We start from the raw sequence: 12,267 nt of genomic DNA, 5'->3' as shown, positions 1-12,267 counted from the left end.
CCAGAACTGCAGCCACCATCTTTCTGCCAGCTCGAGGGCAAAGCTGGAACAAGAAGCAAGATGACTGCCTGGAGAGTGAGCAGAGCCACTGGATGAACTCAGTCCTTGGCTGGCTCCATCGCTAAACTCACAGATGTCAGCCAGTGAAATCTGTTAATGGCTATTCTACCTGAGTTGGGCTTCCTGTTGCTCGTTTGCTGAACGCATCTGAAAAGATAAATGTGGAGATGAAGTTCTTATGATCTATGCTTTGTATACTCATTTCAGAAGCTGAGGTATACAAACTTCCAAGTACCAGGACATCCAGCTGAGCACTATTTTATTTAATCCTTATATTCCCTAGCCCCCACTCAGCAGGATAGGAGCTACTATTATTCTCATTTTTCATATAGAGAAACTGAAATATACAGAGGTTAAGGAAGTTGCCTAATATTACAATCAATTAGTGAATGTCAGAGTTTGGATTCAAACCCATGCTGCTGGAATCTAAGCACATCTACCTGACCATCTGAGAGCTGTTTACTCTCAATAGCTCCATAAAACTCAGAAAAACAGTTATCTTTATTAATGCTTTAACTTTATATTATAATATCTAGATGATGCTCTTTTAATAAACCATAAAATGGATTCAGAAATAAAATCTCCCAAATCATAAAGCTTTAGTTCTTTTTCTGACTCTCAGCTGGGCAGATTACTCATTTTCCCAGAGCCTTGATTTCTTCACCAATAAAATGAAATTAGCAATACAAAATTTATGTTGAAGAAAATGAATGTAAGTGTGGTATGGGAACAAGAGTACTGGTCAGGGAATAAGAGTCCTTTGTTCTAGTTCTGGCTATGTGACCTTGGGCAAGTCACCTACCTCTCTGTGTCTCTGTGCCCTTCTATGAAGTCAAGTCACTTGTGGCTTAATATTCCATGGTTCTATTTCTATCTGACCCATGGAGCTCTTGAAAGGGTTGTGTCAGTTTACTAAAATGGCAAATGAAAGCCTTTGGCTTCATTGGGTTAAATTAATGAGCATCAAGAATTTTACCACCACATTTTAATGCCCTATTTTGATGGTACCCAGCTTGCTTTTCCTAACAGTAAAACCTGAGGATGAAGAAATAAAATCTCAAAATTCCAGTGGTTACTCACTATGGTGAGTAAGTGGCCATTATCAAAGCATCACTGCACATCACTAAACATTTACAGCGAGGAGATGAGCTGTGGCAACTTGATGGCCTTTTTGATGACTGTCCTGATTGCTGGCAGAGAAATGAAGCTTCCTGTGTCAGGGGTCAGGTGATGCAATAACACCCTCTAGATTTAGTAGGGAAGATTTACAGGGGGCGGGGGGGAGGGGAACTCATGCCCTCTGTGGTCTGTGCCCTAGAGCATCCTCTAGGCCAAAAGTCTGATCTGAATTACAAAGTCATCAAGTATCTACTACTTATTAGCAGAGAAGGTCAGGGAAAAAGTTAAATCCATGGACTTCAAGAGGACTTTTGAAGAATTCATCATGCAAATTTCTCTGTGCTTCCCCAGGGCCTCTCTGGCCCAGGTTGTGCAGTAGGTACCATTTTGGCCTCATTTTGCTAGAACAAGGATGTTGTGATTACTCAGAATAAAGTTACAAGGCTCTCTGCAGTCAAAGGAAAAACCTGTGAAGATAACCCGGAGCATTGTTCTTGGGTGATAAGAAGAACTGCTCTGTTTACAGCATGTTATCAGGGCACAGGAACAGGCACTGGCTGTCAGACCCCTCGAGGCGCGTGATGGTATAGGGCTGGCCCCAGGCTCCACAGGAAACAGCAGGACACATCTCAGGTCTGTATTTAATTTTTGGGTATGTACACTTCTATCTTTCTATATCGGCTTCCTTGGCTGAAGAATAAAAGTTCAAACTGCCTTCTAGAACATCCTACCTCTCATTATCATAATGTATTAGTCCATTCTCACACTGCTATAAAGAACTACCTGAGATTGCATAATTTATGAAGAAGAGAGGTTTAATTGACTCACAATTCTGCAGGCTGTACAGGAAGCATGGCTGGGAGGCCTCAGAAAACTTACAATTGTGGTGGAAGGCAGAGGGGAAGCAAGCACATCTTATCATGGCAGAGCAGGAGAGAGAGAGTGCGTATGAAGGGGGAAGAACTATACACTTTCAAACAACCAGATCTTGTGGGAACTCTATTATGAGAACAGCATGGGGGAAGTCTCCCCCCCATGATTCAGTCATCTCCCACCAGGCCCCTGCTTCAACACGTGGGGATTACAATTCGACATGAGATTTGTGTGGGGACACAGAGCCAAACCATATCAAATAGTATAGCCAACATTTACTAAGAGCTTCCTGTGTCCGACTCTTTATTACTGTGCCTGAATGATCATTCAATCCTCATCATTACCATGTAAAAACTGACAAGACAGGTGTGGCATGGACGGAATTTCCCCAACGATGATGGCCCTTCTTAACCCAAGCCTCACTTTATGGTTTCTTTAGGCAAAGCAACGCTTCAATTGAATAAACAAATCTAAGTTCCTATAAATAGGTGGTGTCCAGAAGGCGTAGTGGATATGGAGCCTCCTGACTCTATCCGTGATTGGCTGTGAATCCCACAAAACTGCCCCAGTCATACTGGCCCACAGAGCTTGGCTCTCAGGACAGGCTGTGTCTAGATAGGCTCGTGACAGGTGTGTATTTCTGCTAAATCTGTTTCTAAATTTCCCTCCGTCTGTGGTTTTCTACCTTGAGCAGAGCCTCCACATCTCTAAGGATGGAGACAAGAGCAGAAGCAAAATGCTTCACTCCCAGAACTGCTTCCCTAGCCAGACAGATACAGATACCCATATCTGACAGAGGCAGCCCTGCAAGCCAGTAAGACTGTGTTTGCAGCCTGATTCTGCCAGTCCTGCTCTAGAGTCCCAAGGGGTTTCATCCATCAGACTAAGATAATTAGCCTGTTTTTGAAATCTGTCAACCAGCCTCATAATCAGTTTTTCAATACATGTAGGCGATTAAATGACCGATGATGATGGTGGGGAAAAGAGCACAGTGAGGACAGAGGGCGTCTGCTGATGTGTTAGGGAGAGATGCCTCTGAAATAAAGATGAGGCAGAGATGGCACAGCGAAGGACTCAGGGACCTCGGGCCTCTGTCTTCACTCAGCTGGGAAAGTCATCGAATTGCTTTTTAGTTTCAATATAGAGAATAAGTGATTATGAGGCAAGCCACTGGCCATGTACCCTAAACATCCATGCTTCCCTATCCCCCTCTCTCCATCCCCATGGCCCCCTTTCCAGGCATCCCTGCCCGGTGCTCTGGAAAGAGTGTGGGTCCGGGATACGGAATGCAATTCAGATCTTGGCCTTTTTCTTACTTGTTGCAAGACTTTGTCCGAATTATTTTTCTACCCTCAGGCTTAGTTGCCTAGTGCATAAAATGGGAGCCTAGAGGTCACTATACTTGGTTGCTTGTTGCGAGAATAAAATCAAACGAGGTAAGGTGAAGTGCCAAGCGCAGTACCGGGCACAAAGGAGGTACTCAATTAAGTGTTCGACTTTCTCTCTCCTGAGAACCAAACTCTCTTCCCCATCACTAAAGCACAGGCTACCAAAAGAGAGGGCCTGACAATGATTGATTCAACAGATCACAGAATACTTTTTAAGCATCGATTACTGTGAAGCACCATTCCAGGAGCCCAATACAATGAGTTTTTATGCCTGCTTTGCCACCTGTGAGGTAGGCAAGTTGCTTAACACCTCGGAGTCCCCGTTTCCTCATCTCTAAGCTAGGACTAATGATATCTGTTTTGTTTGCCATGCAGGGTGTCAAGGCAAATCAGACTGTGTGGAAAAAATCTTCTTGCAACCTCTATGGAGCTAAATAAAAGTAAAGTTCTGCCCTTGTTCCCACACTGACCCCATCTGCATGTCCATTATGCACTTGACCATCTCTCAGGCGACTATAATGCTCTCTTTAATGCCTTGTTCTTCTTCACATTTCTAACTGGGTGCCAGGATATGGCAACCCTACCTCTAACATGTCTGACACCTCAAAAATACTTTTTGTTGTCACCACCTTTTCTATTGCTGCTGTGACAAATTACCACAAACTTAGTGGCTTAAAACAACAGAAATTTCCGGTCCTATGATTCTATAGATGAGAAGTCTGCCCCAGATCTAGACTGAAATCAAGGTGTGACAAGGTGCAATCCTTTCTGAAGGCTCTGGGAGACAATCCATTTCCTTGCCTTTTTTTTTTTTTTACCTTCTAGAGGCAGCGTACATTTGTTGGCTCATGACCCCTTCCTTCAGGAAATTTAAGCCACACCCTTTTCATGTTGCATATCTCTGGCTCTCTTCTGTCAATCTCTCTCACTCTTGAGAACCCTTGGGATTACTTTGGGTCAACTCCAATAATCGAGATTTCCTGATTAGCACTCTTAATTCCATCTGCATTTTTTTTGACCATTTAACCTAACATATCCACAGGTTCTAGGAATTGGGATGTGAACATCTTTGGGGGGCAATTATCCTGGCTACCATACCAGCCTTATTCAAGTCCTCAGAACCTCTCACCCAGAGCACTGCGATGAAATCCTAATGGATGCTCCTGTTCCCAATGTCTCCCTGCTGCAGGGAGGGCTACACAAAGCTGGTAAGGGCTAAATCATTAATTAAAAGACTATTGTCTTGCTAAAGCAGCTTGATTTGTGCCTAAGATGGCAAGTAATCAACAAACGATAGCCAAAAAATAGTTAAAATTAAGCGCTTACTATATGCCAGACACACATTTAAGCAATTTGCACATATTAACTAATGTAATGCTTATATCAACCCAATGAGGTAAGTATGTATATGCCATGTCCATTTTATAGATGAGAAAACTGAGGCACAGAGAAGCTGTCTCATGCTCAGTCTCCTGGATATCATGAATTTTGGGAGAAGTTAATAACTTAAGACTAGGTAGCCTAACTCCGGAGCCCTGTGCTCATAACTATCTCAGTACTGTTAAGTAAATTAATCATTTAGTCCTTAAGCCGTTTCACAGCCATTGCCTATAGGGGGCAGGATGTTATTACATAAGTGACAAGGATGGGCGTTGAATTCAGGTTGACAAAGTTTTGAAGTTTTATGCCACCTCTGTGTGATTTTGGAAAGTTACTTACTCTGTCTTTACTTCAGTTTCAATTGTAAAATAGAAATAGAATTGTGTATTACAGATTGTTCTCATGAGAATTAAACGAGGTAATATTTATGGAAGTGCTCAAGACAATGCTCAGGACAAAGTGGGTACCACGTAAGTGTTAGCCCCTCCCTCCCCACAACTGGGAGACCAAATATTACAAAATACATGGGCATAACAAAGAGTAACACTCTAAGCCTGCATACGGTTTAGCTGCTGGATTTTTGAGACAGAATTTTCGCTCTGTCACCCAGGCCGGACTGCAGTGGCACTATCTCGGCTCACTGCAAGCTCCGCCTCCTGGGTTCACCCCATTCTCCTGCTTCAGCCTCCCCAGTAACTGGGACTATAGCCACTGGATTTTTCAAGATGTTCTATATTCTAACACCACTCTTTTTTTTTTTTTTTTCCATTCTGACCCATTCTATTCTTTTTATAATTCAGCCATTCTCAACTTGTTGCCACTCCTGTATATGACATGAACTTTGCTGCACATGGGCCTTTGTTGAAGCAGCTTTTTTTTTTTTTTTCATTAAAAATGCCTTTTCCTTCTTATTTTATCCATCCATCTACATTCTTCACAGACAATTTCCCAATCTCCTCCTCTGGCCACCTACTGTATTTTGTCTGTACTTTTATTACAATACATCCAACCTCATGATTATTTTGAGTTGCCTAGCCATACCCATTTCCTCCTTTTTCTGAAAGGTCCCTGTTTTCTTCTTTTTTATGAGCCTCAAGTAACCAATATTCAGTTGGAGGTCAAAAAGATTTGTGCCATAGAGCTGAGTGTGGAAACAAGTACGACATGTTCCCTGCATTAAGACCTGGTGAGGAAAACAAACACATATACAAGTACCTCACATAACGTGGAAAGTCATACATACACTACTAGAAATTCCACAATATGGAAGGGGTAGAGGGAAAAAGAATGAGTTTGAAAGACTTCACAGAGGAGGTGTTTGTGTGTGTGTGTGTTTAGGGAGAGGCTCTTTGGAGAGAATTTAGAGAAGAGGCTTAGAAATACTGCCTGAGCTCTGCAGATGTACTTACTACTAAGTTATCTCACTTTGCATGTGCGTATTTGTGTTGAGGGGCTAGGACTTATTTCGTATAGATGTTTTCTTCTTCTCAGCACTAAACATGCTACAGCATTTAGCTGGGAGAGAATTTTGGTTTAGGGCTCCTAGGCTGTTCAGTGAATAGGCAAGAGGTAACATACGTAAGGACTTTGGGGCTTGACAGGTTCAAGGTCACCTCCAGTTCTGGTCTTCATTAGGAGAAGAGTGGCAGGGGAGAGCAGGCACTATTCAAGGCCAAGAGTGCCACCTAATCTCTGCGAGAGGTAACATTCTGTGGCAAACAGCACAGGGCTAAAGACAGAAGAGGGATGTTCACCTCCTTCAGAAAGACTCAGCCATGCTCACCTATAACTCAGTTCTTAACCGATGCCACCCAAAGCTGAATTGCAATGGGTCATCTCAAGACCTCTAAGCATAGAGATAAGATGCCAGCGTGGAGCTTCCTTCTCCCATGGGGAAAGCATTCAACAAATGGCAGAGATCAAGAATTTACCGAATTTTAATCTGTAAAATTTGACAGATGGTTTTTATTTTGTTAATTTTAGAATTTAGGAGAAATAGATGGTCAGCCTCTTCTGGAAGAATAATTCAATGCCTATATATTTACATTGAAGGAAATGCTGCTTAAACTGCAGCGTTGGAAAAGTACTGGCCAGAAGGAACAAGCAAAACATTTTCTAGGGAATTTTCTGGATGGAGATACGAAAAAAAAGTGACTTAGTACAGTGGCTACTATTGTTAGATTTTTTCACTTGTTCATTATCATTTGATCCTTTGATAATATTGTAACAGCTTTCATTAACAATATGGCTTGGAGTTAATTTAGGCAAATCCCTTCAACATTGAGCCAGCTAGCAGATTTCAGAATGTGAGTTTCAGGACACTGTTGCTCTCTCTTTCCTAGAAAAGTTGTGGCTTCTCTGCAGGTCATTGGCCAACATCAACTGCTCACAGCAGAGGGACTGCGGGGTGAGCCCACCACCACCTTATCTGAAAATGATTCAGATCCTTGGTTTGGTGAACTTTTAAATGTTAAAACATTGAATTCCGTTGGGTTCAGATTTTGAGTCAAAACAGTGAGATATCTCACAGATGTAGTAGGCAAGATAAAAAGAGTGATTTTAAAAAGCCATTCCAAATGTGTTTGTAGCTCATGGTATGTATGCTGGTAAGTTCTTTGGCAAGGGTACAGTGGAGAAGCACAGCACAATACAAAGAGACAGAAGACCTGCCTTCAAGCCATAGCTTTACTCACTTTACGTACCTTAGGTTGGTGACAATCAGACACCCGGACGTTTTTCTGGAACGGGTAAGGGTAGAAAGAATAAACAAGTACCCCTTAATTCTTCTGAGTCCTGCTTCCCCCAACTATACAATGGAGGAGTGTAGAAAACTAACAGCAGTAAATGAATATGTGTGGAAGTATTCAGTAAACTGCCAATTCATTGTATAACGTTTCTAACACTATCTACACTTTTATTATTTCATCAAATGCAAGGGTAATAGAAATCAGATACGCAATAGCATGAACAAAATTACCAATAATTTAAAGGATTTTGACCCTTTAATGCATATGGTTCTGTAATCAGCAACCTTGTCTCCATCTGATCATATTAAAAACAATTTATGGGGGTGGTGGTTGTTAAACCACTCTCTAGAATTTATTTTAAAATGCCAGGCTTGAGTGAGGGGATTCATCATGTCTGGAACATTCAGCAGAGAAGCCAAACATGCCTGATCACCTCAACCATTTCGTCTATTTCTGGGATCCCAAGATAGAGTACTTATGACACGAAACGTGAACCTCTCATAACTCCTCCTGTGGAAGGGAAGAAGCATGAGGTGAAGACACGCAGTCTCATACAGGGCTGGCCTCTCGGGTGTGCGTGTTTTGCCAAGACAGACAGAATGTGGTCTGTGTGCCTGAGGCCTGAGGTAGCGGGGCTGCAGACTGCAATCCTTGGTGCCCGAACACCATTCACAGATGTAGGGGGAGGCTTCACAGAGGCAGGTGACAAGTGACTTCATCTGACTGACTCCATTTACCTCACATGAAATGGTCACCTGGTGGGACCCCACCCCCCGCCAGCCATGACAAACTCTCTGTTAAAAAGAAGGTGGGAAAGGGCCAGCTGTGGTGGCTCATGCCTGTAATCCCAGCACTTTGGGAGGCTGAGGAGGGCAGACTGCTTGAGGTCAAAAGTTCGAGACCAACCTGGCCAACATGATGAAACCCTGTCTCTACTAAAAATACAAAAATTAGCCAGACATGGTGGCGCATGCCTGTAATCCCAGCTATTTGGGAGGCTGAGGCAGGAGAATCGCTTGAACCGTGAGGTGGAGGTTGCAGTGAGTGGAGATCACACCACTGCACTCCAGCCTGGGTGACAGAGCAAGACCCTGTCTCAGGAAAAAAAAAAAAAAAAAAAAAAAAGAAAAAGAAGGTGGGAAAGAAGCAACCACTTTCAAAAGAGACTCTCAGCAGGTGATATAGGAGACATATGGGTAACTCAGCCTATTTTCAGTTCTCCTTTGGCGGTAACCACAAAGGGAGCCTAAACTCACGTTTTTGTGGCTTTAGAGTGCTGCTGGCACATCCTCACAAAAGACCCGCCCTTTCCAGAGTGACTGATGGAACTACCCTATCAAGGGTTGCCATTGCCAAGTCCCCCATACACTCTTCCAGAGGTTTCAATACTTCCGATGACAAATGGTGAGATTTGTTCCCTTCAGAGATATTCTGACAAAGTTGAAAGGTCGATATAAAGGGCAGTAAGGGCAGTAAGATGTATGAACCCCAAAGTAGTGTTTTCAGACAAACTGATCCTATCTTGACAGTCAATTGCTCTAGTCTACGATTTGAAAGGGTGTTCCAAGATGGATAGGAATAGGTAACAAGATAAAAAGCAACGATATTAAACCTGAGAAATTCCTTCTTCTTTAAACAAATGATAAATTTGCTGAATCTGTACCAAGGAGTAGACTGATTATATATAATACTCAGACAAGACAATCTTCCTCTTGAAATTTCATGTCCTAGAGATAGTCTAACAGCCCTGCAGAACAAGTTATAATCTTGTTTCATCATGGGTCAAAACGGTAGGAGTCATCTATAGTATAAGGATTAGAGAGATAAATCTAGACAAAGCTCGGCATTGTTGAAAAATAGGAAGTCAAAGTTTCTAGGATGCTACATTTTCAAAAATCATACCCCAAATCCAAAAACAACCCCCCCAAACTCATATCCTATATCCTTTACAAACTCTCTTTTATTATTATTTTATTTTCTCTCTGGGGCAATTTTCAATGCTAAGGAACCACAAAGGGAAGTGACAGAAACAATAATCGTTAAGAAACAATAATGGTTAAAAGAGGAAGACTATGGAAACCTAAAAGAAGAACAGACATGTATTTACAGGCACCTCTAAGTAGAACACGACAGCAAGAACAGACACCAAGCAACCCATCTCAGGTTTCAGGACAGTATGAAAGTAAGTTTCTTCAATCAGAAGAAAGGCAGAACCCAAAATACGTAACTGAACCACCAGCAATTATAACATACTGCCCAGATGCTTTCTTTGAAGTTAAGCAGCCCCTATCTATCTTACAGTATTTGTTTAAAAAAAGTTACATTAATTAAGTCTTAGAAGAGCACACTGTCATTTAAAGGCAATGTCACTTACTGGGGCATCTCTCCTCCTCCTCCGTCGGCTGCTCCTTCTCTGGCTTGGGTGGGCCTTTGATTTTGTAAACCAAGGCACAGAGTTTTCCTGTCCAGGAGGTGTCCTCCTCCTCCTCTTCCTCTTCTTCCAAAGGAACCCCTAGCAAGCCACAGAACAGGGTGAAAATCCAAAGCAGTGCATGAAACCATCATAGTGTCACAAAGAACATTTAAAAAACTGCTTCCCATCCTTCTGGAACTTTCTAAAGATACTACAGGCTTTCTAAAGATACTATTCTCGTGAATAGTTACCTATCTTATAGCTTTTGAAAAAAAAAATATTGATTTCCTGTTTATCAGAACAACAAGTAAGTTTAATCCTAAAACATGTGTTTTGAATCTGTACCCCCAAAACCTCTGAAAGAGTGTAAGGGGGATTACATACACTCTTATAGTGTTGAAACCTCTGGAAGAATGTTTGGGGGACGTGGCCCTAGAATCTGTAGAAGAAGTTAACAATGAGTTATTTCAAATGAAAAGCTTGTCAATTACCCATATATTATTAAACCTACCCATGTACAAGCAACACAAATGCTGAGAGCTGCTTAAAACCAGTAGGTACGTATCCAAGTAGAGATTGCTGGCTGAGAAGCCTTAAGGGCAGAAGTTACTAAACACACACACACACACACACACACCACACACACCCACACACCCACACCCCCCCCCCCCCCCACACACACACACCCCTAATAGCTAAAAAGCAAAGAGATCAGAATCTTGTCTCACCTGGAAGCTGAGAGTCCCAACTAACTTTAAGCAAATTAGGTGAGGTTTATATAAGGATCAGTTGTCTTCATTCTTTTGCTAGAAACCCTGTTTCCTCTCTATATCTCAGCACAGGCTCTTTTAGGTAGAAGGAATTTTGGTCATATATTCTGTCAGGGTTACTTCCTGTATCTTTTCTGACACAAGTAGCTAGGATAGTCACGTCTTGAAAGACAGTATTGCAATTTTAAATACAAAAATAACTTCCCAACCTCCCACTAGCTTTCTAATGAAGGAATCAAAAACAGACTCTTCTTGTAAAAAAAGGACAAAGCCTTTCTCTGGGCAGCTTACCACAGTGAAGGAGAAGGTCCTCATGGAAATCATACAGCTCCTCCCGAATCTCCTCTGGGCAGGGGCAGTTCTCTCCCAGTTGAAAGTTAAGCAGCATGTTGATCTTTGAGAGGCAAGAGAAGAATAGCTAGTTGGTTCTCAATGTTGGCCAAGGGAACTCAGATCCTGCCTTAGACAGACACTTACATTCTTTTCAAATTTATTTTACTTAGTGATTTTTTTTTTTTTGGTAAAAGTGGCCAATATTTACAAGTAGCTTTCACCTTTTCCTGATTCTAAAAGTAACTTATTAATTGTATAACATTTGGAAAATACCTAAATAAGAAAATTTACTGTGATTCCACCACCCCGAGATAACTACTGTTAATATTTTAGCTAATGTCTTCCTGACATTATGTAGGTATACGCACAGAATGGGATCACATTCCAGATACACCTTTTAAAAACCAGAGTTTTCCACTTAATGTTACTTGAACATTTTCTTACTTTCTTAATCCAATTTTTAATAGGTGCATTGTAATTATATGGAAGAATTATAATTTATGTAAAATTAACTCTGTTATGACATATTTGTTTCTATTATTTGTCCTTATAAAGCTGGTTTGAGTTTCCTTTAAAATAATTTTTTTTCATGTCTCTGATTATTTTCTTAGAATAAACTCCCAGAAGCAAAATGACTAGAGGAACAGGTTTGCATATTTTAATGTTTTTTTATATGAATTTACAAATTGCCCTTCAGAAAGCTTACAATTTGCATTATTAACAAGTTTATACAAGTGTGTATTACTATGCCATCTTCGTTACAGTAATAAGAGTTAACACATTTTCAAATATTTTCAATTGAATGGGTGAAAAATGTCCTATCCCTGTTGCTTTAATTTATGCTTAATTGGTGAGGTTGAAATTTGTTTTTTCACACATAAAGATTAATTTTATTTTGTATTTCATAAATTTCCCATCCATGTTTTTCCTCTATTTTTCTACTGGGTAATTATCTTTAAAAAATTTGCCCCTGAGTGCTTTGGACACCTCTAGATTTTTAACTTTTTATATACTTTTATACTCTACATGTATTGGCCCAGCTTTTGGTCAGCTTTTAATTTTGTCTACAAGTTTTTTTGTTTGTTTGTTTGTTTTTTTGAGACAGAGTCTCGCTCTGTTGCCCAGGCTGGAGTGCAGTGGCACAATCCCGGCTCACTGCAAGCTCCGCCTCCCGGGTTCACGCC

At 41.3% G+C, this 12,267-nt stretch overlaps 1 protein-coding gene across 20 annotated transcripts in view; it reads right to left on the bottom strand.

Annotated features, from left to right (window-relative positions):
- Positions 1–12,267, bottom strand: part of RYR3 (ryanodine receptor 3) — a 555,136-nt gene that overhangs the window by 185,605 nt on the left and 357,264 nt on the right. For all 20 annotated transcript variants that reach the window (XR_001751370.2, XR_001751371.3, NM_001036.6 and 17 more), the window contains 2 exons: positions 11,042–11,144; positions 9,942–10,079 (listed from right to left, as the gene is read on the bottom strand). Coding sequence is in view for 18 of the 20 variants with exons in the window: in NM_001036.6 (NP_001027.3) it covers positions 9,942–10,079; positions 11,042–11,144 (241 nt within the window). In the remaining 2 variants the exon portion in view is untranslated. The remainder of the gene's footprint in view (positions 1–9,941; positions 10,080–11,041; positions 11,145–12,267) is intronic.

The sequence above is a fragment of the Homo sapiens genome, chromosome 15 (genome assembly GCF_000001405.40).
Source record: "Homo sapiens chromosome 15, GRCh38.p14 Primary Assembly".
NCBI classification, from domain to species: domain Eukaryota; kingdom Metazoa; phylum Chordata; class Mammalia; order Primates; family Hominidae; genus Homo; species Homo sapiens.
This window is presented reverse-complemented; position numbering and strand designations above follow the sequence as displayed.